This window comes from Homo sapiens, chromosome 9, assembly GCF_000001405.40.
Source record: "Homo sapiens chromosome 9, GRCh38.p14 Primary Assembly".
Lineage (NCBI taxonomy): Eukaryota > Metazoa > Chordata > Mammalia > Primates > Hominidae > Homo > Homo sapiens.
In genome coordinates, this window is record NC_000009.12 from 137,257,922 (window position 1) to 137,284,464 (window position 26,543).

At 58.4% G+C, this 26,543-nt stretch overlaps 2 protein-coding genes across 2 annotated transcripts in view, besides 6 other annotated features; both read left to right on the plus strand.

Moving 5' to 3' along the window:
- Positions 1-15,621, plus strand: part of NELFB (negative elongation factor complex member B) — an 18,216-nt gene extending 2,595 nt beyond the window's left edge. The window contains exons 5-13 of the mRNA NM_015456.5: positions 5,116-5,301; positions 6,324-6,436; positions 7,956-8,058; positions 8,410-8,505; positions 9,023-9,165; positions 9,319-9,425; positions 14,160-14,301; positions 14,586-14,694; positions 14,861-15,621. Coding sequence (NP_056271.3) covers positions 5,116-5,301; positions 6,324-6,436; positions 7,956-8,058; positions 8,410-8,505; positions 9,023-9,165; positions 9,319-9,425; positions 14,160-14,301; positions 14,586-14,694; positions 14,861-15,007 — 1,146 coding nt within the window. The 3' untranslated portion in view covers positions 15,008-15,621. The remainder of the gene's footprint in view (positions 1-5,115; positions 5,302-6,323; positions 6,437-7,955; positions 8,059-8,409; positions 8,506-9,022; positions 9,166-9,318; positions 9,426-14,159; positions 14,302-14,585; positions 14,695-14,860) is intronic.
- Positions 5,075-5,634: an enhancer, noted in NCBI's record as "H3K4me1 hESC enhancer chr9:140157448-140158007 (GRCh37/hg19 assembly coordinates)". NCBI's record gives its function as "activates a minimal SCP1, AML or CMV promoter by ChIP-STARR-seq in primed H9 embryonic stem cells {active_cell/tissue: H9 hESC(primed)}" and the evidence as "EXISTENCE:reporter gene assay evidence [ECO:0000049][PMID:30033119]".
- Positions 13,324-13,823: an enhancer, noted in NCBI's record as "H3K4me1 hESC enhancer chr9:140165697-140166196 (GRCh37/hg19 assembly coordinates)". NCBI's record gives its function as "activates a minimal SCP1, AML or CMV promoter by ChIP-STARR-seq in naive H9 embryonic stem cells {active_cell/tissue: H9 hESC(naive)}" and the evidence as "EXISTENCE:reporter gene assay evidence [ECO:0000049][PMID:30033119]".
- Positions 16,885-17,064: an enhancer, noted in NCBI's record as "active region_29349". NCBI's record gives its function as "activates an Ori minimal core promoter by ATAC-STARR-seq in GM12878 lymphoblastoid cells {active_cell/tissue: GM12878}" and the evidence as "EXISTENCE:reporter gene assay evidence [ECO:0000049][PMID:35858748]".
- Positions 19,706-20,025: a silencer, noted in NCBI's record as "silent region_20604". NCBI's record gives its function as "represses an Ori minimal core promoter by ATAC-STARR-seq in GM12878 lymphoblastoid cells {active_cell/tissue: GM12878}" and the evidence as "EXISTENCE:reporter gene assay evidence [ECO:0000049][PMID:35858748]".
- On the plus strand, positions 19,805-24,720 carry TOR4A (torsin family 4 member A). The gene is made up of 2 exons (NM_017723.3): positions 19,805-19,986; positions 20,732-24,720. The coding sequence occupies exon 2, from the start codon at positions 20,769-20,771 to the stop codon at positions 22,038-22,040; it is 1,272 nt and encodes a 423-aa protein (NP_060193.2). The 5' UTR covers positions 19,805-19,986; positions 20,732-20,768; the 3' UTR covers positions 22,041-24,720.
- Positions 20,306-20,365: a silencer, noted in NCBI's record as "silent region_20605". NCBI's record gives its function as "represses an Ori minimal core promoter by ATAC-STARR-seq in GM12878 lymphoblastoid cells {active_cell/tissue: GM12878}" and the evidence as "EXISTENCE:reporter gene assay evidence [ECO:0000049][PMID:35858748]".
- Positions 23,031-23,270: a silencer, noted in NCBI's record as "silent region_20606". NCBI's record gives its function as "represses an Ori minimal core promoter by ATAC-STARR-seq in GM12878 lymphoblastoid cells {active_cell/tissue: GM12878}" and the evidence as "EXISTENCE:reporter gene assay evidence [ECO:0000049][PMID:35858748]".
- Positions 24,721-26,543: the final 1,823 nt, after the last annotated feature.

Genomic DNA, 26,543 nt, shown 5'->3' on the forward strand with positions numbered 1-26,543 from the left:
AGTAGCTGGGACCACAGGCACGTGCCACCACACTGGGGCTACTTAAAAATATATATATATTTTTGTAGAGGTGGGGTCTGGCTATGTTGCTCAGGCTGGTCTTGAACTCCTGGGCTGAAGCGATCCTCCCACATCAGCCTTCTAAAGTGCTGGGATTACAGACATGAGGCACCATGCCTAGCCGAGATTTGTTGGGGTTTTTTTTTTTTTTTTTTTTTTTGAGACAGGGTCTCACTCTGTCACCCAGGTTGGAGTACAGTGGTGTGATCGTGGCTCACTGCAGCCTCGACCTCCTGGACTCAAGCAATCCTCCTACCTCAGTCTCCTAAGCAGCTGGGACCACCGGTGTGTGACACCATGCCTGGCTAATTTGTATACTTTTTGCAGAGTTGGTGTTTCGCTGTGTTGCCCAGGCTGGTCTCGAACTCCTGGGCTCAAGTAATCTGTCTGCACACCTCAGCCTCCTGAAGTGCTGGGATTATAGGTGTGAGCGACCACAACTGGTTGTGAGATTTTTTAATTAGCCAATTTTTTTTTTTTTTTTTGAGACAGAGTCTTGCTCTGTCACCCAGACTGGAGTGCAGGGCCTCAATCTCGGCTCACTGTAACCTCTGCCTCCTGAGTTCAAGCAATTCTCCTGCCTCGGCCTCTCGAGTAGCTGAGACTACAGGCGCGCCCCACCATGCCTGGCTAATTTTTTTATTTTTTTGTTTAGTACAGACAGGGTTTCACCATGTTGACCAGGCTGGTCTTGAACTCCTGACCTCAGGTAATCCGCCCACCTTGGCCTCCCAAAGTGCTGGGATTACAAGTGTGAGCCACTGCGCCCGGCCCTAACCAACTTTAAACTAGCACTGTTCAGTGGAAAAAGCGAACTATAAGTTAAGATTTTTCAGCATCCACATTAAGAAAAAAAAATGAGATCAACTTCATTAATGTTTTCTTTGGTCCAGTATATCCAAAATATTATCTTTCAGCATGTAATTCATGTGAAAGATTGGGCTGGGTACGGTGGCTCACGCCTGTACTCCTAGTACTTTGGGAGGCGGAGGTGGGAGGATCGCTTGAGCTTAGTAGTTAAAGACCAAAGGGAGACCTTGTCTCTACAAGAAAAAAAAATTAAGCTAAGCATGGTGGTGCGTACCTGTTGTCTCAACTACTCAGGAGGCTGAAGCAGGAGGATTGCTTAGGCCTCGGATATTGAGGCTGCAGTGAGGTATGATTGAGCCACTGCACTCCAACCTGGGCGACAGAGTGAGAGATCCTGTCTCAAAAGGAAAAAAAAAATATTGAGCTATAATGCTTTTTGCGGGAGGATCACTAAGATTTGAAACCTGGTGAGTCTTTCATGCTTAGAGCCCATCTGAACTACTGCACTTCAAACGCTGAGCAGTTAGTGTGGCTCTGGGTTCCCTTCGGGCCGTGGTTCCTGACCATGTGCGTGGGCAGCAGCAGGCTTGTTGGGGGTGGCAGTGCCACCTCTGTCCTCCCTTCCCTGTTTGTTTATTCCCAGTTAGGTCCTCCATGGGCCTTTTTCTTGTTCCATTGCTGTCAGACAGAGCCCTTGGACCCCTCTGCTAACTGTGGGGTGCCCTGCATTTCCCAGGCCTTTCTCCTATCGCCTGTCTCTTCTGGTGACTTGGTGCTGCCTATACTGATTTCTGTCTGTAAGGGAAATCAGTCGGCTTGGTCGGCTTAGTCCTAGGTTGATTCTCTTTTATTTTTATTTTATTTTATTTTATATATTTTTATCTTGTTTTATTTTACTACTTTTTAAAATTTATTTTTTATTTTTTTATTATTTATTTATTTATTTTTTTGGAGACAGAGTCTTGCTCTGTCACCCAGGCTGGAGTGCAGTGGCACGATCTTGGCTCACTGCAAGCTCCGCCTCCCGGGTTCACTCCATTCTCCTGCCTCAGCCTCCCAAGTAGCTGGGACTACAGGCGCCTGCCACCATGCCCGGCTAATTTTTTGTATTTTTTTTTTTAGTAGAGACGGGGTTTCACAGTGTTAGCCAGGATGGTCTCAATCTCCTGACCTTGTGATCCACCTGCCTCAGCCTCCCAAAGTGTTGGGATTATGGGCGTGAGCCACCGTGCCTGGCCTATTTTTATTTTTATTTATTTTATTTTATTTTATTTTTGAGACAGAATCTTGCTCTGTTGCCCAGGCTGGAGTGCAGTGGTGCAATCTCGGCTCACTGCAAGCTCCGCCTCCCGGGTTCACTCCGTTCTCCTGCCTCAGCCTCCCGAGTGGCTGGGACTACAGGCGCCCACCACCACGCCCAGCTATGTTTTTTGTATTTTTAGTAGAGATGGGGTTTCACCATGTTAGCCAGGATGGTCTCGATCTCCTGACCTCATGATCCACCCGCCTCGGCCTCCCAAAGTGCTGGGATTACGGGCGTGAGCCACTGAGACCGGCTATTTTATTTTATTATTTTTTTTAATTTTTAAAATTTATTTTTTAAAATTTTTTTTATTTATTTTATTTTAATTTTATATTTTGTTTTATTTTATTTTAGTTTGTTTTATTTTTTTTTTTTTGAGACGTAGTGTCCTTCTGTTGCCCAGGCTGGAGTGCAGTGGTGTGATCTCAGCTCACTGCAACCTCAGTCTCCCAGGTTCAAGTGATTCTCCTGCCTCAACCTCCCGAGTAGCTGGGATTACAGGCACCCACCACCACGCCCGACTAATTTTTGTATTTTTAGTAGAGATGGGGTTTCACCATGTTGGCCAGGCTGTTCTCGAACTCCTGGCCTCAGGTAGTCCACCCACCTTGGGCTCCCAATTTGCTGCAATTACAGGTGTGAGCCACCGTGCCCAGCCCGATTCTCTTTTAAAAAGCTAAATTAGGCCGGGTGCGGTGGCTCACGCCTGTAATCCCAGCACTTTGGGAGGCAGAGGTGGGTGGATCACGAGGTCAGGAGTTCGAGACCAGCCTGACCAACATGGTAAAAACCCATCTCTACTAAAAATACAAAAATTAACCAGACCTGGTGGTGTGCGCCTGTAGTCCCAGCTACTCAGGAGGCTGAGGCAGGAGAATCACTTGAACCCGGGAGGTGGAGGTTGCAGTTAGCCAAGATTGCGCCACTGTACTAGGCGACAGAGTGAGACTCAGTCGCAAAAAAAAAAGCTGGGCGCAGTGACTCACGCCTGTAATCCCAGCACTTTGGGAGGCCGAGGCGGGTGGATCATGAGGTCAGGAGATCGAGACCATCCTGGCTAACATGGTGAAACCGCATCTACTAAAAATACAAAAAATTAGCTGGGCGTGGTGGTGGGTGCCTGTAGTCCCAGCTGCTCGGGAGGCCGAGGCAGGAGAATGGTGTGAACCTGGGAGGTGGAGCTTGCAGTGAGCTGAGATCACGCCACTGCACTCCAGCCTGGGTAACAGAGCACGACTCGGTTTCAAAAAAAAAAAAAAAAAGTAAAAAAAAAAAAAAACTGGGTCAGGTGTGTGGCTCATGCCTGCAATCCTAGCACTTTGGGAGGCCGAGGTGGGTGGATCACCTGAGCTCAGAAGTTCAAGACCAGCCCGGGCAACATGGTGAAACCCCGTCTCTACTACAATACAAAAAATTAGCCAGTCATGGCAGCCGGCGCCTGTAATCCCAACTACTTGGGAAGCTGAGACAGGAGAATAGCTTGAATCCGGGAGGTGGAGGTTGCAGTGAACCAAGATCTTGCCATTGCACTCCAGCCTGGGTGACAGCGCAAGACTCCGTCTCAAAAAAAAAAAAAAAAAAAATTGATTGGGTGTAGGGACCAGCCCCACAGGGTTGATGGGTTTTTCTCCCCGTGTGCGGAGATGAGAGATTGTAGAAGTAAAGACACAAGGCAAAGAAATGAAAAGACAGCTGGGCCCGGGGGACCATTACCACCAAGACGCGGAGACTGGTAGTGGCCCCGAATGTCAGGCTGCGCTGATATTTATTGGATACAAGACAAAGAGGCAGGGTAAAGAGTGTGAGCCATCTCCAATGATAGGTAAGGTCACGTGGTTCACGTGTCCGCTTGACAGGGGGCCCTTCCCTGCCTGGCAGCCTAGGCAGAGAGAGAGAGAGAGGAGAGAGAGAAACAGCTTACGCCGTTATTTCTGCGTATCAGAGACTTTTAGTACTTTCACTAATTGACTACTGCTATCTAGAAGGCAGAGCCAGGTGTACAGGATGGAACATGAAGGCGGACAAGGAGCGTGACCACTGAAGCACAGCATCACAGGGAGACGGTTAGGCCTCTGGATAACTGCGGGCAGGTCTGACTGATGTCAGGCCCTCCACAAGAGGTGGAGGAGCAGAGTTTTCTCTAAACTCCCCCGGGGAAAGGGAGACTCCCTTTCCCTGTCTGCTAAGTAGCGGGTGTTGTTCCTTCACATTTTTCGCTACCGCTAGACCCTGGTCCGCCTGGCAACGGGCGTCTTCCCAGATGCTGGCGTCACCGCTAGACCAAGGAGCCCTCTGGTGGCCCTGTCCAGGCATAACAGAAGGCTCGCACTCTTGTCTTCTGGTCACACCTCACTATGTCCCCTCAGCTCCTATCTCTGTATGGCCTGGTTTTTCCTAGATTATGATTGTAGAGCGAGGATTGTTATAATATTGGAATAAAGAGTAATTGCTACAAGCTAATGACTAATATTCAAATATAATCATATCTATGATCTATATCTAATATAACTATTCTTGCATATTTTGTTATACTGGAACAGCTCGTGCCCTTGGTCTCTTGCCTTGGCACCTGGGTGGCTTGCTGCCCACAGTTGGGTGTCGTGGCATGCAATTGTAGTCCCAGCTACTTGGGAGGCTGAGGCAGGAGGATCACTTGAGCCAGGAGGTCAAGGCTGCAGTGAGCCACAGTTGCAGCAGTGCACTCGAGCCTGGGCAACAGAGCAAGGCCTTGTCTCAAAAAAAGTAATAAAAAAAATAAAAATAACAGAACCTGCTACCATCAGACTGGGGGCCAATATTTAATGAGAGGAGGGAATGTTTTCTGCCAAAAAGTAGGAAGGACAGATGTCCAGAGAGAGGGCCGCGCTGTCGCCGGGCGTGACGTCCCTGTGTCTGGCGGAGCCCAGGACGGTCTGGGGGCCTGACAGTGCCTCTTGCTGCAGGTGGTGCAGCGGCTGACGCGGATGGTGGGGAAGAACGTGAAGCTGTACGACATGGTGCTGCAGTTTCTGCGCACGCTCTTCCTGCGCACGCGGAATGTGCACTACTGCACGCTGCGGGCTGAGCTGCTCATGTCCCTGCACGACCTGGACGTGGGTGAAATCTGCACCGTGGACCCGTGCCACAAGGTAGCACTGCCCTCCCTCCTTCCCCCCTACCCTCCTGAAGGTAGTGCTGCCCTCCCTCCCTCCTTCCCTCCCACTCCCCGGCCCTCCCTCCTTCCCCCACTGCCCTCCTGAAGGTAGCGCTGCCCTCCCTCCCTCCCTCCTTCTCCCTTCTCCCCCGCTCCCCGGCCCTCCCTCCTCCCCCTCCGCCCTCCTGAAGGTAGCGCTGCCCTCCCTCCCTCCTTCCCCCCAACTCCCCGGCCCTCTCTCCTTCCCCCTCTGCCCCTCCTGAAGGTAGCATTGCCCTCCCTCCTTCCCCCTGGCCCTCCTGGCTCCTCTCCTCTCCGTGGGTTTGGCTTGGCCCGGGACCACCTGGGCGCCCTTCTCTCCCATGCCTGTTTCCTGGGCTCTGGTCTTTCTGTCCTGTGTGCTGGCCCTTTGGCTTCTCTCCAGACCCTGATGGGGGAAGGAGGCTAGTCCCCTGCATCTGAGCCAGAGACCTGGCCGTTCCCGGGGACTCCCTTGCCCCGTCCAGCCCTTTCTGTGTTCCCGAGGGCTGTATGACCTACGGGCTGGACCTTGACCATTGCCCCAGCTTCCTCCCATCTTTCCACCTGGCCTGTGGCCCTCCCCTTCCCCAGAACCCTGGGTGCTGCTTGTTGGCCAGGTACCAAGTGCTCTAGGAACGGGGTTTCCCTTCATACGGACCCTCCAGCCCTGAGACCATCTTTCCGGGACTTGGGAGTCACCCTCCGAGGCTTCCATTGCTTGGAGTGCTGCAGTGGCCACCCCCACACTCAGGGTGCCATGAAGGAGTCCGTTTTTAGAAAGAAACATCATCACTTTCTCCACCACTGTCCTGACCCTGCTGCTTTGGCCGGGAGGTGTGGGGAACACTGCACCGTCAGGATGACTGGTGCCTGCTGCCGCCCCCCGCAGCAGCTATGATTGAACAAGAGGCCAGGGCCTGGAGCTGTGTTTGGGGCCTGGGTCTCTGGTCATCCTGGGAGGTTTGGGCTGGTCCCGACCGTGCTTCCTCCTTGCAGTTCACCTGGTGCCTGGACGCCTGCATCCGAGAGCGGTTCGTGGACAGCAAGAGGGCGCGGGAGCTGCAGGGGTTTCTCGATGGCGTCAAGAAGGGCCAGGAGCAGGTGCTGGGGTGAGGGTCGGCTCCACGAGGCCTCTGCCCCTCAGGGCCCTGCGTGCATCCGGTCTGCGCTTGCTGTGTTTTGCCGTGGGTAGCAGGCGTTTATTCCCGGATATTGCTTTTTCTTTTGTTTTTTTCGAGACAGAGTCTCGTTCTGTAGCCCAGGATGGAGTGCAGTGGTGCAATCTCTGCTCACTGCAACCTCCGCCTCCTAGGCTTAAGCCATTCTCCTGCCTCAGCCTCCCAAGTAGCTGGGATTACAGGCACGCGCCACTGCGCTCAGGTAATTTTTGTATTTTTTAGTAGAGACAGGGTTTCACCATGTTGGCCAGGCTTGTCTTGAACTCCTGACCTCAGGTGATCCACCCGCCTCAGCCTTCCAAAGTGCTGGGATTACAGGCATGCGCCACCGTGCCTGGCCTCCTGGATGTTTCAATAGAGCTATGCCGGGCACTGCTGGCCCACAGCTTAGGGACATGGTTGTCGGGATGTGTGTGGGTAGCAAAGTCTCCCTCCTCAACTCTGCATTCTGGAGCCAGGCCCAGGGGCTGGGGTCTGGTGTCTGCAGTGGCGTGGGGTCAGCCTCTGAGCTGAGGGGCATCCATTGGCATTTGCTTTCCAGCATCCTCTGGCTGGTGTATAGACACAGTGCTGCCTGGCCCTGCCTTTGCCACTTTTTTTCTTCCTTTTTTTTTTTTTTTTTTTTTTTCTGAGACAGGGTCTCTGTCACCCAGGCTTTAGTGCAGTGGTACAGTCTCCCTCAACCTCCTGGGCATTGATCCTGCTGTCTCCGCCTCCCAAAGTGCTGGGATTACAGGCACACACCAGTGCGCCTGGCCGATTTTTGTTATCTTTAGTAGAGATGGGATTTCACCACCTCGCCCGGGCTAGTCTCAAACAAACAATCCACCGGCCTCAGCATCCCAAAGTGCTGGGATGACAGGCGTGAGCCACCACACCCAGCCTTTTTTTTGTTTGTTTTTTTAACTTTTTAATTTGAAAAATCTTTGAATAGGTTAAGGACAAATTGCAAACCTTAAGCTTTTTTTTTTTTTTTTTTTGAGACAGAGTCTCGCTCTCTTGCCCAGGCTGGAGTGCAGTGACGCGATCCTGGCTCACTGCAAGCTCTGCCTCCCGGGTTCAAGTGATTCTCCTGCCTCAGCCTCCCGAGTAGCTGGGACCACAGGCGACCACCACCACGCCCGGCTAATTTTTTGTATTTTTGGTAGAGACAGGGTTTCACTTTGTTAGCCAGGCTGGTCTCAGTCTCCTGACCTGGTGATCCATCCGCCTCGGCCTGCCAAAGTGCTGGGATGACAGGCTGAGCCGCCGCGCCCGGCCTGCCAAAGTGCTGGGATGACAGGCTGAGCCGCCGCGCTCGGCCATCCTTAAGCTTTTTGTAAGAAACCCAGCATGTGATGGGCACCCGCTGCCAGTCCTGAATTCAGCCTAGGCCACCCCTCCTGAGGACTGTGCCGCTGAAGGGAGGGGCAACAGGCGTCGCATTAATGCCAGGGCGGCCTCCTTCCAGGGACCTGTCCATGATCCTGTGTGACCCCTTCGCCATCAACACGCTGGCACTGAGCACAGTCAGGCACCTGCAGGAGCTGGTCGGCCAGGAGACACTGCCCAGGGTGAGTGTGGGCTTGGCCAGCAGCTGTCGGGGCCATGCGGCCACTCCGCTGGCTGCTCTGGGTGGTCAGGGTGTGGACAGCAGCGGCCAGGTGGAGGCAGCTGTTGGGGCCCTGTGGCCGCCCTGCTGGCTGCTCTGGTGGTCGGGGATGTGGACTGCAGTGGCCCAGGTAGAGGCGTGTGCTTCCCCGCTGTGAGACTGCGTTTCACCCCGTGTGTGGGGCTGGTGATCGCAGTCGTGTGGTCCTGGCCATGGGCACCAGAGATCCTGCTGAGTAACGAGTAGGGTCAGAGGAGCTCCATGGCCAGGACACAGCTGCCTGGGAGAGGCGCTGAGCCCGTCCTCCCTACAGGACAGCCCCGACCTCCTGCTGCTGCTCCGGCTGCTGGCGCTGGGCCAGGGAGCCTGGGACATGATCGACAGCCAGGTCTTCAAGGAGCCCAAGATGGTAACGAGCCTCCTGTGGGGGCTGCCAGTTTCCTACGAGGGGTTGTGGGCTGGAAGTGGGGTGGAGGGGGAGGCGCTAGCAAGGTGATTGTGGAGGCCCCTTTGGTCCCAAAGCTTCCTTCCTGGAGCTGCCCACCTTCCTTTTGGGAAAATGCCCACCAGGGAGGTTCTGGGGTGTCTCCGTGGACCCTGGCTGGTTCTGGGGTATCTCCATGGCCCGTGGCTGGTTCTGGGGTGTCTCCGTGGACCGTGGCTTGTTCTGGGGGTGTCTCCATGGACCATGGCTGGCCACAGGTGGTGACTACTCCATGTGGGTCCAGACCTAGAAGGGGGTTTGAGGAGATGGCCTGGGTGGGGGACTCGGGAGGTGGGAAGAGGGACCTGGGGACCTGGAGAGGAGGGAGGGTCGGTGAGGTATCTGGGGGAGTGGGAGGGCCAGGGGCAGGGTGTGTGTCACGTCAGGGTGGGGTGGGGCAGGGCCCGGGCCCGCGCCCGCTCATGGCCTCCCCTCCTCGTAGGAGGTAGAGCTCATCACCAGGTTCCTCCCGATGCTCATGTCCTTCCTGGTGGATGACTACACTTTCAATGTGGATCAGAAACTTCCGGCTGAGGAGAAAGCCCCAGTCTCATATCCAAACACACTTCCCGAAAGCTTCACTAAGTACGGGCTGTAGGGCCATGGTGCAGGGGTGGCCGTGGCGCAGGGATGGCACTGTTGCCCAGGGGGCTGCCTCAGGGCTGGGCAGGGGTCGGTGTGGGGCTGAGGTGGGGCTGAGGTGGGGCTGAGGTGGGGCTGATGGCGCCCCGGGCGCAGGTTTCTGCAGGAGCAGCGCATGGCCTGCGAGGTGGGGCTGTACTACGTCCTGCACATCACCAAGCAGAGGAACAAGAACGCGCTCCTCCGCCTGCTGCCCGGGCTGGGTAAGTCCTGACGGGCGGTGCCTGGCTGTGTCTTCCCTGCGGCAGCTGCCGTATGCAGTCCTGCCCAGGGTGCGGGCCCCAGGGCCCCCAGGAGCTGCCTTGTCTCCCCAGCCCACCTCCAACTTTGCTAGCTTTGTTTTCACCTTTTTTTTTTTTTTTTTTTTGAGATGGAGTCTTGCTCTGTCGCCCAGGCTGGAGTGCAGTGGTGCAACCTCAGCTCACTGCAGCCTCTGCCTCCTAGGTTCAAGTGATTTCTCGTGCCTCACCCTCCTGAGTAGCTGGGATTACAGGCGCGTGCCACCGTGCCAGGCTAATTTTTGTATTTTTAGTAGAGACGGGGTTTCTCCATGTTGGTTGGGCTGGTCTCGAACTCCTGACTTCATGATCCGCCCGCCTCGGCCTCCCAAAGTGTTGGGATGACAGGTGTGAGCCACCACTCCCAGCCTCGTTTTCACTTTTACTTTTGTTTGTAGTTTATTTTACTAGGAAAGGGAGAGGGAGTTCAACTTTGTGCTTTCCCACAAAAAGGTGATGTAAGAGCTGTCTTTATTTCATCCTAACTGGCGAGGGGCTTGGGACCCCTCAGGTGCTCAGAGAATGGAGCAAAGGGGAGGGAGAGAGATCCCCTGCCCCAGTGCCCCACCCCAGGTGGTGACAGGCCCACTTCCTCCTGGGGGCCTTGACGGGGGAGGGGTTGTTGCAAGCCAGGAAGAAGAGGAAGGGTCCAAATGGGCACCTTCAAGAGTAGAGCTGCAGGTCCCCTGGGAGATGGGGCCTCTTTAGCCTGCTGTGGGTCCCATGGGAGATGGGGCCTCTTTAGCCTTGCGGTACCCACTGTGACACAGACCCTGGGCTCTTCCTTGCTGACTCAGGCCTTGTCTGGGGTTTGCTGTCTTAGTCCACGTTATGCTGCTCTAACAGAGACTTGAGACTGAGTAGTGTAGAAAGGGCAGGGACGGCCGGGCACGGTGGCTCAGGCCTGTAATCCCAGTGCTTTGGGAGGCTGAGGCGGGCGGATCACGAGGTCAGGAGTTCGAGACCAGTCTGGCCAACATGGTGAAACCCTGTCTCTACTAAAAAAATACAAAAATTGGTTGGGCATGGTGGTGGGTGCCTGTAATCTCAGCTACTTGGGAGGCTGAAGCAGGAGAATCCCTTGAACCTGGGAGGTGGAGGTTGCAGTGAGTGGAGATTGCACTATTGCACTCCAGCCCAGGCGACAGAGCGAGACTCCGTCTCAAAAAAACAAAGAGCAGGGACTTCTCCCAGTTCTGCGGGCTGGGATGGGAAGTCCGAGGTCAAGGGGCCTGCATCTGGCTGGGGCTTTTTGCTGTGTCATCCCATGGTGGAAGGCAGAGGGCAAGAGAGCACGGGCAGGGGAGACAGACAGACACAGACAGAGATGAGAGACAGAGACACACAGACCAAGATGAGAGACAAAGATGAGAGACACAGAGACAGAGATGAGACACAGAGAGATGAGAGACAGGTAAGAGAGACAGAGACAGGAGAGACATGGAGACAGACAGATGAGAGACACAGGACAGAGACAGATGAGAGACAGAGCTAGAGATGAGACACAGACAGACGGAGACAGAGAAGGGGCCACACTTACCCTTTTATCAGGAGCCACTCCTGTGCTAACAGCGAGAACGCTTTGGTGAGGACGGAGCCCTCACGACCTCAGCAGTGTTGCGTTGGGGATCAGGTTTCCGATGGTGAACTTGGGGACACGTCCACACCACAGCACGTGCCTATTGTGTTTCTCGGTGGCTGGTGTGTTTGAGGATGGCGCGTGCATGCGTTTTCCAGCTTTCTTTGTGGAGGAAGTTACCTGTGGGTATTAACCTGTCCCCAGCCATCCTCTCACTGAGCTTGGGTTGCCTGGGCCTGGGTTTCCTGTTGTTGCTGGAACGAATGACCACAGACAGTGGCATTAGACAGCGCAGGCAGACATGACCTCCTGGGCTTCTGCGGGTGCCAACACTGCCGCTCCTTCTGGAGGCTCAGGGAGGCTCTTGAGGGCATTGGGACATCGTGCTGCCGGCCGCCGGGCAGAGCCGGTTTGTTTATTTTTTGAGACTTCCGGGAACATAGTTATAAATAACTTTAATTTGCCTTGGCCTGCCCACTGCAGTACAGTCACGTGTCACATAACATTCTGTCTACCGTGGACCACATATACGACCACGCGGTCACATAAGCTGACAATACTGTATTTTTACTCCACTTTCTCTATTTAGATACACAGTTGCCATTGTGTCCCAGCAGCCTTCAGTACTCAGTACAGCCATGTGCTGTGCAGGTGTCTAGCTCAGGGGCATGAGGCCATGGCCCAGCCCAGTGTGCAGTGGGTGGCACCTTCTGGATTTGTGTCAGTCACTGTGGAGTTCGCACAATGACAGACTCACCTGGGAGGCCTTCCGTGCGCTTCTGTTTCTTTCTCTCATTTGATTGTGGCTAGAAACAGGCTGGGAACCAGGAGTGCAGCTTCTCGGAGTACGTGGCTGCCCCACGGGGTGGGATGTGCATTTTCAGTCACATTTGGGGAGAGCACGCGTGTTCTTAAGTTTTTAGCGGGTTCTAGTAAGAATGGATGTTGATTTTTAGAATTCTCTCCTGTTTATTTTTTAACATTTTGTGGTGGGAATTTGTGAAAGAATACGAAGTCAAGAGCATGGTACGGTGAGGACCCAGCACCATCTCCAACCTCCCCGGGGTCCACGTGGGGTCTGCGTGTGGCCGCCTGTCCCTCAGCACGATGTCTGGGTGTAAATCTGAGACATCACAGCATGCAGGCTGCAGACGTAGGCATCTCTACAAAAGAAGGATGCGTTTACAGGAGAATCGCTTGAACCTGGGAGGCAGAGGTTGCAGTGAATCGAGATCACGGCACTGCCCTCCAGCCTGGGCGACAAAGCCAGACTCCGTCTCAAAAAAAAAAAAAAAAAAAAGGGCGGGGAGCCGGGCTTGGTGGCTCATGCCTGTAATCCTAGCACTTTGGGAGGCCAAGGCGGGTGGATCACCTGAGGTCAGGAGTTCCAGACCAGCCTGGCCAACATGGTGGAATCCCATCTCTATTAAAAATACAGAAATTAGCCGCGTGTGTGACGCATGCCTGTAGTCCCAGCTACTCGGGAGGGTGAGGCAGGAGAATCGCTTGAACCCAGGAGGCAGAGGTTGCAGTGAGCCGAGATTGCACCACTGCACTCCAGCCTGGGTGACAGAGCGAGACTCCGTCTCAAAAAAAACAAATAAAAAATAAGACTGTCTTTAAATGCCTTTAAAAAACTGGCCAGGCATGGTGGCTCACCTTGTAATCCCAGCGCTTTGGGAGGCCGAGGCGGGCGGATCACCTGAGGTCAGGAGTTCCAGACCAGCCTGGCCAATGTGGCGAAACCCCATCTCTACTAAAAATAGAAAAATTAGCCCGGCGCGGTGGCGCACGCGTGTAATCCCAGCTGAGGGAGGCTGAGGCAGAAGGATCGCTTGAACCCGGGAGGTGGAGGTTGCAGTGAGCTGAGATTGCACCGCTGCACTCCAGCCTGGCTAACAGAGTGAGACTCTTCTCAAAAAAAATAAAAACCAGTGACCACGGACCACGGGCCACTGTCACATCTGAGCCAGGTTCACTGCCGCTCCTCTGCCGACTGACTGCCTGACAGTGGCTGCGCTTCTCCAGGTGTCTCCTGCCTGCTGTGTGGACGGTCCCGTCAGGGTTGGGATGCGCCTGCTGTCCCCTCTCCTGTCTCGCAGTCTTGGGTTCCCCGGAGTTGCAGGAATCAGGGCATTTGCCCAGTGGGGCCTTGCTGCTGGATCCCCTGGTCGGGACTGTGTGCCTGCCACGTGTCCCGTGGCCACCTGGCCATGTGGCCGGCCAAGGCCCTGTGAGATGTGGCAGGCAGGCACCTCGGGGGCCTGGGTCTCCTGGAAATGTTTCTGTCACTCTGGGCGCAGGTGGCGCCAGCTGGGTTGTCCTCATAAAGGCCCCATCCGGGATACTAGGAAGGCCATCCTCAACCTGTCCGCACACGTCACCTCCATGTGGCCTGGCCACAGCTCCTTCAGGCATCAGTCTGCAGGCGGCCGCCCTCCCTCCCTGCAGGGGCCCCGTTTGGGGCGTTGTGCTGGCTCTTGGCAAATGTCTGCCAACACCGTGGCTTCTGTGCTGTGGTCGCACGTGAGGCGTCTGTGGGCACGAATGCTGTCTTTGTTGTGTTTTGGTGTCTGGCTTCAGAAAAGAATGTGGAAGAGTTTCGTTCTCTTTCCTGTGGTTCAGTGTAGCTGGCAGTCAGGGAGAACTCTCTGCAGCTGGCGCCGGCCCTGTATTTGTTAGGCTTGTTTCTCCTGGGCTCGGCTGCTGGGCAAGGCCTTTTGGGACTGGAGGAGCACCTCGTTTTTCTGTCTCCTTCTTCCTCCACCCTCCTCCTGTCCCCGGGCTGTCTCCCCCTCCCTCCACCCTCCTCCTGTCCCTGGGCTGTCTCCCCCTCCCTCCACCCTCCTGTCCCTGGGCTGCAGCTCTGCTTCCCTGCCACAGGTCCCACCCCCTGCCTGCCTCTGTCCACTTCCCACCCCCCTCTTCACCTGCTGAGACCCTGTGCTTCTCATCTCAGAACAACTGAGAACTCTCATGTGAGCACCCCCAGAAGTAGGTTCTGAGGTCTTTGAGGACAAGGGTGCCCTCTGGGGTGGGCAGGGTGAGTGGCACTGGGCTGATGCCTGCTGTGTCTGCAGTGGAGACCTTTGGCGACTTGGCCTTTGGCGACATCTTCCTCCACCTGCTCACGGGCAACCTTGCGCTGCTGGCCGACGAATTTGCCCTTGAGGACTTCTGCAGCAGCCTCTTCGATGGCTTCTTCCTCACCGCCTCTCCAAGGTAGGCCTGCTGGGTACCATCCGGCCCGCTCTGTCCTCTCAGCTCTTGTCCGTAGCAGCCTGAGAGGTGGCTGCTGTCCCCAGCCTGGGGCGGAGGGTCCGCAGGTGGGTCTGTTGGGCACCAGGGCTCGCATGTGGCCCTGCAGGGTGCCTGGGCACAGCTGGGGAGGGTCCCAAAGGCTGGCCATGTCCTGTCTCCAGGGGCCTTGGCCACCTGCATCTGGGCTGGGCCTGGGCAGACAGCAGGGCCTGCCTCCTGCCCCAGCCCTGCACGGCCTTTTCCAGGAAGGAGAACGTGCACCGGCACGCGCTGCGGCTCCTCATTCACCTGCACCCCAGGGTGGCCCCGTCTAAGCTGGAGGCGTTGCAGAAGGCCCTGGAGCCTACAGGCCAGGTGGGTGCCCGGGGGGGCTGCATCTGAAGGCACCTGGTCCCTACCAGCCCGTGTGTGCTTGCCAAGCTGCCCTTGTGGTGCTTGTGTGTGGTCGGTGGGCACCCACCCCTGTGCCCCCTGGGCCTGCCCATGCGCCTCGCCTGCCCCATGGTGTGGTTCCCCGCAGAGCGGAGAGGCAGTGAAGGAGCTTTACTCCCAGCTCGGCGAGAAGCTGGAACAGCTGGATCACCGGAAGCCCAGCCCGGCACAGGCTGCGGAGACGCCGGCCCTGGAGCTGCCCCTCCCCAGCGTGCCCGCCCCTGCCCCGCTCTGAGGGCCCTCCAGACCTGCTCGGGTGCTGGGGCCATGCCGAGTCGCGGCCCTGCTCAGCCGGAAGAGGCTCCCGGACCTGGATGTACAGGGCAGTCTCTCTTCCCGGGGCTATGGCTGGGCCTGTCCTGCCGTCATGGCCCCCTGCTTCCTGCTCCTTGGAGCTGGCTCCCGGACCTTGCCCACCATCCATGCAGTGGCTCCCAGGGCAGAGCCTCTCCTTGTACTTTGGCAGCCATAGAAAGCGTGCTCATTTTCTGTTTTCCTGTGTTAGGAAAAAACCACCTGTTTTCCAAGGGGAGAGGGCGGGGCCTGAGGGTGGGGGCGGGGCCTCTTCATTGGCCCAGCTTGGCGAAAGCGAGGCACACTGCTTACTGCCTTGGGGTTGTGGAGATGGACCCGTGACCTCGTGGAGGCCGTGTGGGGGCAGCAGCCTGGCCTGTGCCATGGTGGGTGTCCTGGGGCCTGTGCGGAGGGAGCCACCTCACCCTGCAGCCCAGTTTGCAGGTGTGGCCTTGTTTCTCCTTGCCCAGCAGTGCTGCCTTCAGCGGCCGTGACGGGGCCAGCTGGACACACGGTGAGATTTTCTCGTATGTAAATAAAAGGCATTTTGGTAAACGTGGAGGCTGAGATGTCTCTGTGCCTGCCCTGAGGTTGGATGTAGCTCAGATGGACACAGGCATTTGTGCTATGGAGCCAATACTTGGGGCTTTGTGGGCCACAGCCTCTCTGGACTGCTCAGCCCTGTCTGTGACCAGCAGCTGGGGACGATATAATAATTTCTGGGGGAGGTTGATATAATAATTTCTGGGGGAGGTTGATAAAATTTCTGGGGGAGGATATAATAATTTCTGGGGGAGGTTGATATAATTTCTGGGGGAGGATGATATAATAATTTCTGAGGGAGGTTGGCAGGAAGCCCTCACCCTCGGGGCTTTGGTGCCCCTAAGACGCAGATCAGCTGCTTTGTTTTTGTCCTGCGATTCCAGGGGGCACCTCTCACCTCCTGGTGCACACCAGGGACAGGAGCCCTGGAGGCCCAGGATGTGCCATGGGTCACAGGCACAGAGCCAGGGCCATTTCCAGCAGATGAGACCTCAAAGCCGGGCAGCAGTTCATAGCATGCAGGGGCGATGGCCCGGCTGCCAGGTGTCACTGTCCTTGGCTCGCAGCATGCAGGGGCGATAGCCTGGCTGCCAGGTGTCACCGTGTCCTCAGAGACGCCTGTTGGCGAGCTCGCCTCCCTGGAGTGTGAGGCCACAGCTGAGCAGGTTGGGACCTGTTGGGTGAGACAAGCCCATGGTGCTGGGATCTCGTGGGTATGGGAGTCTCTGAGCTGGTATCCTCTGGGGCAGAGCCAGGGACGCCTGGGACTCTGTTGCACCTGTGCATGGGGCTTGTGGTCTACACTGGGAGATCTGTGCCTCAGTTTATTGTGGTCTACACTGCCGGATCCATGCCTCAGTTTATCCAGTCATGTCTCTCCAAGAGCCCCAGGGCAGGCGGAGAAGTCCCAGCCTGAGGGCTTTGGTTGGGAGCTGGGGACCCAGGTGAGGCTGGGTGTCTGGGGCTGGCCTGGCTGGTGGGTGGAGGGCGCAGGTTCTGGGTAGGTGTGAGCAGCAGAGGAGTCTTGGAGGGTCCAGGGCTCTGAACCTGCCCAGGTGGGCTGTGACGGGAAGATGAAGGGCTTGTCTGACAGGCACATGCAATGGGTTTGGGGCTGTGGAGCTCAGAAGAGACTGGGGCCAGGTTGTGGATCTGGATGCTGTCATAGGGAGTGGTGTTTGAGCTACTGACTGGGCCAGATCAGCCCAGGTGAGGGAGAGCAGCCGTGTGCTCTGGGCGGGCCTTCCTGGCCAGCTGGGGCGGGGGGGTGGCAGCTGGCAGCAGATTGGGTGCCCCACAGCCCAGGGAGGAGGGGCTGAGGAACAGTGCTTTGGAGGGAGAGCTGAGGAAGCAGGAGAGGCCTGGAGACCCAGCTGAGAGGCACTAAGGAGTGGGATGAAGGTCAGTTCCGGCCAGGAGTGCGTGCTTTTTTTGCTTTTTTTTTTTGAGATGGAGTCTCGCTCTGTCGCCCGGTCTGGAGTGCAATGGCGCAATCTTGGCTCACTGCAAGCTCCGCCTCCCGGGTTCACACCATTCTCCTGCCTCAGCGCCCCCCCCACCCCAGCATCTGGGACTACAGGCACATGCCGCCACGCCCGGCTAATTTTTGTATTTTTAGTAGAGACGGGGTTTCACTGTGTTAGCCAGGATGGTCTCGATCTTCTGACCTTGTGATCCACCTGCTTCGGCCTCCCAAAGTGCTGAGATTACAGGCGTGAGCCACCGCGCCCGGCCTGGTTTTTTTTTAAAGATAGAAGAAATAGATGTTTCTGGGCTGATGGGAATGACCCAGTAGGGTGAGGAGTGGAGGATGGTCCAGGGGCTGGGCTGTCACTGAATGAGCAGGTGGCCGGGGTCTCAGCACAGCAGGGGTGTCCTCAGAGGAGGGCTGATGGGCGCAGATGCTGGGGTGACGGCTGAGGAGACACTGGGAGTCCACTGCTGCTGCCTCCCATTTTCTCAGGTCTTGGGCTAGGAGGCAGGATAGGGGGAAGTGGCAGGGGAGAGGACGAGTAGAGGACTTGACTGTAGGAGGAATGGTCAGTGAGTGGACCCGGGTGCCTGGTTTGGTCACTGGGCAGCGGGCGCGTCCTGTCCAGGGCGCCTGCAGGGGGTGCCAGGCCTACGGGTGGGGAGTGAAGGACAGAGAGTGAGGAGCCCGTGGGTGAGGGACTGGTGAGGTGGAGGGTGTGAATTGCAAGGACTGGGATGGGACCGTGCGTGGACGGCTGAGCCTCGGGGGCGCATGGTTACTGTAGCGAAAGCCTTTAGGGGCAGAAAGAGCAGAGCTGCCTGAGCGACTGGGTGTGGACGCTGCTGGGAAGTTAGGGAGAAGGACTTGGTAGGGGAGGACCGAGGGCCCAGGCACGGGAGGCATCGTCTGGTGAAGTGAAACCTATGGGGAATTTGGGAGGAGAAGTGGGGAGGCTGCCCACGGTTTGGGGAAAACAACCTTGCTGGCAAGGGCTGGGGGAAGCAGTGAGGGTGAAGTCCTTTCAGAGGCTGAGAACATGTACTGTGTTTGTGGGTGATGGACATGAATTCTGGGCGCAGCGGCAGGGCTGGGTTGGGTAGGGAGGCGGGAGGGGAGGCCTCCTGGAATGGGAATGGGTGTGATTGGGGGTGGCCCTGGGTATCACAGGAGATGGTGATGGCCCTGGGAGCTGGGGTTCTGGGGCTCCCTTCACCCCTGTAGATGGGAGAAAGTGCAGGGGGTGAGGCCTTGGCCCAGGCCTCAGATTCACCTTTGACCCATAGGGCCAGGTCTTGGGGCACCCCTTGAGCGAGTCCCTTTCCTGCAGAGGGCTCTGGCCTGAGGATTTGCTGGGCCAGCCTCTGGCAGAAGCAGCTCCAGCCCTGGGTGCACTTGGAGGCAGGGCAGAGGCTTTGCTGCAGGTTTTCCAGGGCTCGGTCAGCCTGCATCTGCCCGAGGGCCTCCCCTCCAGGGTCCTCTCTGTGTCAGAAGAAGCACCGAGACTCAAAGCCTGAGGCCCCCAAAGGACCCCAACCTCCGTGCTGGGGCCACGGGGCCTGGACAGCCAACCTCCTTCCGCTCTGGTCCCACAGAGGCCGGGGAGTGGGCCCAAAGAGCACCAGCATTCCACCTGGTGTGTGCGGCCCCCGCGGCCTCGACAATTGGGGATCCGGGCCCCCGAGCACCCCTTGCACAGGGGAGGGGAGCCCTAGGCCTGGCTCCTGGAGGGGAGCGTGATAGTCCGGTGGACCCCATACCCTGGAGAGAATGGAAACCCCCAACCCACGACCGGTTTCCCTGATGGAGCCTGTCTGGTTGGGTGCAGTGTGTGAGGAATATACAGCTGGAACCATCAGGCCCGGGCTGGCTGTTGGGAGGAGTGGGGCGTCCCTGGGACTGCGGGGTCCTGAGCTGAATGCCAGCAGCACTGGTGTGGCTGGAGCGGCCACCTTGCCCCTCCTTGGAAGGCGGCTTCCAGGCTGGGCCAGGGTAGGAGGAGTCCAGGGTCCTTTAGGCAGGCCGGCAGGGGGAAGGGCCCAGAGCTCCAGCTCCTGGCTCCCGGCCCAAGTTGTTTCTAAATTTGTTCCCCAACCCCCACAGGGACCCTGAGCCGCACGTGGTTTTTTCCGTGATAGAACTTCCGTCTGTGTGTGCTGGCCTGTCCTGGGCAGGGGGCTCCAGGCTGGGGACGGAGGAAGGGGGAAAGGAAAGACAATGAGCCCACTTTGGGGGGCCCCCGATTGGGGTCAGGAGGGGAATGAAAAAGCGGGGAGAGGAGTAATAAGAGAGGGATTGGGGGTATGCAGCTCGGCAGAGGACCCTGCCCGCCCCCTGTGCTGCTGCCTTGCTCCCGCCTTGCTTACACAGGGCCTGGAGCCCCTCCCCCCAGCTGTAAGCCCTGTGTGTGGGGTGACAGGTGGAAGGGATAACCTGGGGGAGGTGGGGGCCCTGGAGGACAGGCTGAGGTGCAGGAGCCCAGGGTGGGGGCACAGCATGCAGCAGGGGCCCTCGGCCTCACCAGGTGTCCTGAGCCTGACCAAGCCAGGAGGGCTCTGAGCGCTAGAGAACTGAAGCGGGAATGTGACCTCCGGCCAGGGGATCTGGGCAAGCCGGCCAGGCCTCCCCCCTTTGGCGCCTCCGTCCAGCCCAAGTCCCGCCTGGGCCGCACCCCCTGACTCACTTCCTTTGCATAGAAGCGGAAACCTCCCCAGAGCTTCCTCTACTCCGGCCGGCCGCTCCCTGGGGACCCACAGGTGTCGCTGCCCCTCCAGGCCGAAGCTGGCCCAGGAGGCCCCTGGCCCACCCCCTCGCCCTGGGAGGCGCATTTCCTGCTTGGAGTCTCAGGCCCCAGCGTCTGGCACAGGCAGGGGCCTGCGGAGCTGAGGGCAGTGGACCAGCTGCAGGTAGGGGGTGGGTTGGGGCCCAGGGCCCAGTTCCTGCCAGTCAGTGGCTCTCTTGCTCCGACCGGCCTCTTCTTTCTGTCCATCTTTTCGTTTCACCTCCACTAGTCTCCGGGGGGCTCCCTGCACTGCTCAGCTCGTTCACTGGAGGGGTGTTGGGAGGACCCCAGTTTTGGAGTCGGGGCTGGGAGGCCTGGGTTGAGCCTGGGGACGGGGCCCGGGCCTATTCTCAAAATCATAAGTTCCAGCCAGACCCCCGCCAAGTGTTCTGGAGCGTGTGGGGGCGTCTCTGAACTCCTGGGCGCTCAGGCCTCTGCTTCCCGCGGCCCCTCCTTGGGAGACGGCCCAGTCCAGTGGGAGCCGCGGGCGGGGGCAGGGTCCGGGGGTGACTGTTCACCCCAGTGGGCGCCTGGGCGGCCACTGACTCCTTCGACGACTCCTCCAGGAAGCCGGGGCGGCCACCAGATAAGCCTCTACCCCGCCACTTCCTCAAGGCCCGCGGCCGTTTATGGGAAGACCCGAGAGATTTGCATCGGGGCCCTGCGGAGGGGCGGAGGGGCGGAGGGGCGGAGGGGTCGCTTGCCGGTCTGAGGGGCGAGGCCGCGACCAGGCCCCTGGCCCTGGGGCAGCCCGGGCCGCACCCCACGGGACTCCCAGGGGGTAAGATCACTCCGGGGACCGGTTCCGGCGGCCCGCGGGAAAGGGCAGTGGCGGGAGTCCAGAGACCCTCCCCGTCTTCCCGTTGCAGGGAGGGCGACCTGTATGCGGAGCGCCGTTCCTGCGACATGGACCGCGGCCAGCCCAGCCTGGAGCCTGCTGCCGCGGCCCCCCGAGCCTCGGGCCGGTGCGTGATCGCGCCCGTGCGCGCTGTGCTCCGCCTGCGCCGCCGGGTGTGTGTCCTACGCAAACGGCGCCTCCTGCAGCCGGGTGGGGGGCCCGACGTCGGGACCGGGGCGCCCAGGCCGGGCTGCAGCCCCCGGGCACCGCGCGCGGACCTGGACCAGCCAAAGTTCTTCACCTTCGACAGCCCCGCGGAGCTACCCTCCAGGACGCCACGCAAGAAGCGCCGGCGCAGCCGCCTGGTGCTTTACCCGGAGACCTCGCGCAAGTATCGGCCGCGCGTGGAGCACAGGAGCCGCGCGCAGCGCTGCCTTCTGCTGCTAGTCGCCATCGTGGGCTTCCAAGTTCTCAACGCTATCGAGAACCTGGACGATAACGCGCAGCGCTATGACCTCGACGGGCTGGAGAAAGCGCTGCAGCGCGCGGTGTTCGGCCAGCCCGCTGCCGTATCGCGCATCGTGGCGCTGATGCGGGACTACCTGGCCACGCATGTGCACAGTCGTCCGCTCCTCCTGGCGCTGCACGGGCCCAGTGGCGTGGGCAAGAGCCACGTGGGCCGCCTGCTGGCGCGCCACTTCCGCTCGGTGCTGGAGGACAGCGCGCTCGTGCTGCAATACCATGCGCGGCACCACTGCCCCGAGGCGCGCGCCGCACAGGACTGCCGCGAGGAGCTGGCGCGGCGCGTGGCCGACGTGGTGGCGCGGGCCGAAGCGGAGGAGAAGACCCCACTCTTGGTGCTGGACGACGTGGAGCTCATGCCGCGGCCGCTGCTGGACGAGCTGCACGGCTTCCTGCAGCCGCAGCGCTCCCACCACTTCCACAACGCCATCTACGTGCTCCTCAGTGGCGCGGGTGGCGCCGAGGTCACGCGCTTCGTGCTGCAGAACGCGTCCCGCGCGCTGCCCCTGCGCCCCGACGGCTTCCGCAGTGCCGAGGCCGCAGCGGCGCAGGCGGAAGAAGACCTGCGCGCCAGCCTGCTGGCTGTGCTGTCCCGGGAGCATCCGCTGTGGCAGGCCGCGGCCATCGTGCCGTTTCTGCTGCTGGACAAGCGGGATGTGGTCAGCTGCTTCCGGGACGAGATGGCGGGTGAGGGCTTCTTTCCTGACCAGGCCCGCGCGGAGAACCTGGCCGCGCAGCTCAGCTTCTACCGCGTGGCTGGCCGCGAGTTTGCCGTCACCGGCTGCAAGCAGGTGGTGGCCACGGTGAACCTCCTGTAGTGGAGGCGCAGGACGGGACGTTTGGGTTGATGGCGGCAGTAGGAGGGCGACCAGGGACCTTGTGGGCTGGTGCAGGCCCCTGAGGTTTCTAGTGAATTTGTGGCTGCCCGGCTGGTGGGTGCGGATCAGCTTGGAGCTCTGCTTCCAGGTCCACACCCGCCTCAGAGTCCGGAGTCTGTCCCTGGGGGCGGCAGGACAGCAGCCACCTCCCTCCCAAACTTGCCCATTGCCCTGCTGGGCGTCCCAGGCATGGTCTGGTGCGTTCTCCCTGTGGCCCCAAGAGGTGGGTTCCCATGGTACAAGGATGATCTCAGGGCCAACAATTCCCGGGGTCACACAGCTGGGACGTGACCCCGCCTCTTGGGGGTGGTCGCGTGTTGCTCAGTGCTGAAGTGGGGTTCTCATTCCGGCCCCCCTGGAGATGACCCCGGAGGAGGCCACAGCCAACCATGACAGTGCTGGGGCTCTGGCTGCCTTCTCCACCCACCCCACCCCTCACTCAGGTCGTGTTTTCAGGAGCTCAAGGCTGGAGTGTCTTGACAGTAAGGGGAGGGGAGCGGAGGCGGAGGCGCCTCAGGCAGCCTCTCCCCCTCCTTCCTGGACCCCCCAACCCCGGGCCCGCCAGCCCTGGCTTGGGCTTACTGGGTGACCGAGAGCCCGCGGGGCAAGCGGGAGGTGCCTAGGCCTCTCCCCATCCCCCTCTTCTCCGCACGTGGGACCCTTAGCCCGTGGCCAGTCCCCTGGTCACCACGATTGCGCGACCTCCCTTTCCCTGGGGCCTTTTGTGCCCCGAGTTCCGCCCACCCGCACCCTCTGCGCAGAGCGCCCTCCCCACGCCAGTCGACCCCACACCCCACACTCCCCACGCGCCGCCTCCCGGAAGCCCTCCTGGACGCCTCCCGTGGATGGGCCCACCGCGCCCACGGGGGCTTTAGGGGAAGGTGCTTTGGGCGTTTTTTGCGCCATGTCTCCTCGGGGCCGGCGGTTGCCTCGGGACGGTTCTCGCCTCCTCCCACAGCCCCGGTGTCTGGGACGCACCCGGCAGCCCCGCTGCTGCCGCCTTGTGGCGCGCCCGGCCCAGCCGGTGGCTTCTGTGGTCGCCGGGGGCTGAGCGCGCGGCTGGGCCCTGAGTCCCCCAGGCCGCCCCGATCCTCTGTCCCCGCCGCCGGCCCCGCTGCAGTCCCAACCCGGGCCTGCCCGGGAGGAGCGCAGGGGCGGCGATGACCAGTCCCGAAAGGGGCTCAGAGGGCAGCGAGGAGGTTTCACGCCGGTGCGGGGCGCCGTCGAGGTGGGGGCACCGCGAAGGTGGAGGCGGGGCCGCGCCGGAAGCCCCGAGTCGAGCGCACACGGCGGGCGCCCCTGGCAAGTGGGACTCCTCCGGCCCCGAGGCCTGAACTCAGCCCGGAGACCGCGCCCACCAGCGCCGGTGTCCCCGGAGGGGCCCCGCTAGTTCCCTGAGCAGAGGTCCTGCGGCTTCCCGGAGGGTGTCCTGTTCTCTCCCCCGCCTCGCATCCATTCTCGCCCTGGTGGTTGGTGTCTGTGGTCGGGGGCGAGGGCCGTCTAGTGGAGACGGGGATTCAGGCCGCTTGAAAGTCTGGGATCTCTGGGCGGATGGCAGCGGCTCCGCGGAGCTCGAGCTCGGCGCGCAGGTCCTGGGCCCAGGGCGGGAGCGCTAGCGAGAGGGCTGCCCCGTCCTGCCCAGAGGGTCCTGAGGACTCCCGCTGCTCCTGGAGTCTTGGGGAGGGGTCCGGCTCCACGGGGTGGGGGTGGGGGCTACCAGGAAACCTTTGCCTCCTGGGGCTGTGCAGGACCGGCTAGCCAGCGCTGGGAACCAGGGCTGAGTTCAGCCCAGCTCTGTCCACCCCAACCCCAGGGCTAGGGGAAGGAGCTGGGAGAAGGAGCCCCACCTCTCCCAGGCGAGTATCTGTCCCAGGAGCCCACACAGAGGGACACCCAGCTCTGGTCTGGCCTTCGTGTTGGCTTCAAGGTGGTAACAGAGAGAGCTGCAGAGTGGGGGTGTGTTTGCCAGTCCCTGCATGGGTGAATGTTGGGGTGCCCACTGCTCCCCAGGCAGGACCCCCAGGACTGTCAGCTCCCCTTCCCACAGAGCACCCACCTGGAGGTGTCACCTGCCGGCAAGCGTGGGCCATTCATCCACCTGTCAGTCAACAACACCCGCTGAGCATCGGCTTGTATCAAAAGGTCCAGACCTAAGGGGAAATTTTATCTCTTTCTTTCTTTCTTTCTTTTTTTTTTGACACAGAGTTTTGCTCTTGTTGCCCAGGCTGGAGTGCAATGACACGATCTCGGTTCACTGCAACCTCTGCCTCCTGGGTTCAAGCGATTCTCCTGCCTCAGCCTCCCGAGTAGCTGGGATTACAGGCGCCCGCCATCACGCCCGGGTAATTTTTTTGTATTGTTGGTAGAGACGGTGATTCACTATGTTGGCCAGGCTAGTCACGAACTCCTGACCTCGTGATCCGCCCACCTCGGCCTCCCAAAGTGCTGGGATTACAGGTGTGAGCCACCGTGCCCGGCCTCTTTTTATTTATTCCTAAAATATTACCTTGAGGCCAAATTCTGCGCTTAAGGAGAATGTGCACCAAGTGCTGGGGTGGGGGCTGGTAATAAACGAGGCCACAAATCATGCTTGTTAATAAATTGTGTGGTTCAAATCTGACGACCTACTGTTTGGTTTGTTTCTTGTCTGTCTGGTCTGTTAATAATTGAGGAGGATGCTGAAATCTTTCCCTAATTGTAGATTTATGGTAGATTTATCCATTTCTCTCTAAGCTTCTATTTAATAGGACATGCTGATCGAGAGTTTTGTTTTTTGTTTTGTTTTGAGAAACTTCTGAATGGGGAAGTGGTGTGGACCTGGAGGCTGATGGAAGGATTGGGGCTCACATGCAGTCTGCAGCTCAAACATCCGGGCTTTCCAGGAAATCCATAAATAACTAAAGTATTTTCTTTAATTGCCCTGGACAGGTGCTGAGGGCAGATGACCCAGGCTGGACATGCGGGAAGTTGCCAGCTAACCAGATGATCCCAAATGTCATAGCTGCTCTCCCTCATATGTGCAGAAACTGTTTCTGTGCAGTTGTCTCTGAGTTATTCTTTGACATCTGCCATGTGTCATTACGTAGTAACCCTCGTGATCTGTGTGTGCACATCATAATGACTTTTTTTTTTTTTTTTGAGACAAGGTCTCGCTCTGTCACCCAGGCTGGAGTGCAGTGGTGTGATCTCCACTCACTGCAGCCTCCACCTCCTGGGTTCAAGTAATTCTCCTGCCTCAGCCTCCTGAGTAGCTGGAATTACAGACGCCCACCACCACACCCAGCTAATTTTTGTATTTTTAGTAGGGACTCAGTTTCACTATGTTGGCCAGGCTGGTCTCGAACTCCTGACCTCAGGTGATCTACCCATCTCAGCCTCCCAAAATGCTGGCATTACAGTTGTGAGCCAACGTGCCTGGCTTCTCTTTTCTTTTAATAGAGACAGGTTCTCTCTGTCATTCAGGCTGGAATGCAATGGCGTGATTGTGGCTCACTACAGCCTCGACCTCCTGGGCTCAAGCGATTCTCCCACCTCGGCCTTCCAAAGTGCTGGGATTCCAGGCGTGAGCCGCCGCGCCTGGCCATTCTCTGCATTTTTCAAGGTCAGCAACACTGCATCCTTCCGACCACAGCCAGGAAGAGTTTTCTGCTTTTAAAGACCCATGTGACTAGATGTGTCCACCTGGGCCAGGCGCAGTGGCTCACGCCTATAATCCCAGCACTTTGGGAGGCCAAGGCGGGCAGATCACCTGAGGTCAGGAGTTCAAGACCAGCCTGGCCAACATGGTGGAACCCTGTCTCTACTAAAAATACAAAAATCAGTCGGATGTGGTGTCGAGTTCCTGTCATCCCAGCTACTTGGGGGGCTGAGGTAGGAGAATCGCTTGAATCCAGGAGGTGGAGCTTGCAGTGAGCCAAGACCCTGCGACTGCACTCCAGCCTGGACGACAGAGTGAGACTATGTCTCAAAAAAGATAAAATAAATAAGTAAATGTGTCCACCTGGGTAATAACGGATTATCTTCCCATCCAAGGTCCACACTTACCTACATCTGCAAAGTCCCTGAGTCAGTTTTGGTAATTTGTGTCTTTCTTGGAACTTCTAGGAATTTGTCCATTTCATCTAAATTGTCTAATTTTATTGATTTTTTTTTTTTGAGACAGTCTTGCTCTATCGCCCAGGCTGGAGTGCAGTGGCTCGATCTTGGCTCACTGCAACCTCTGCCTCCTGGGTTCAAGGGATTCTCCTGCTGTAGCCTCCCTAGTACCTGGGACTACAGGTGTGTGCCACCATGCCCAGCTAATTTTTTGTTTTGTTTTGTTTTGAGACGGAGTTTCACTCTTGTTGTCTAGGCTGGAGTGCAATGGTGCGATGATCTCGGCTCATTGCAACTTCCACCTCCTGGGTTCAAGCAATTCTCCTGCCTCAGTCTCCCGAGTAGCTG

Excerpts from the sequence above, each read along its gene's own strand:
- TOR4A (NM_017723.3), top strand. The coding sequence starts at position 20,769 with ATGGACCGCGGCCAGCCCAGCCTGGAGCCTGCTGCCGCGGCCCCCCGA.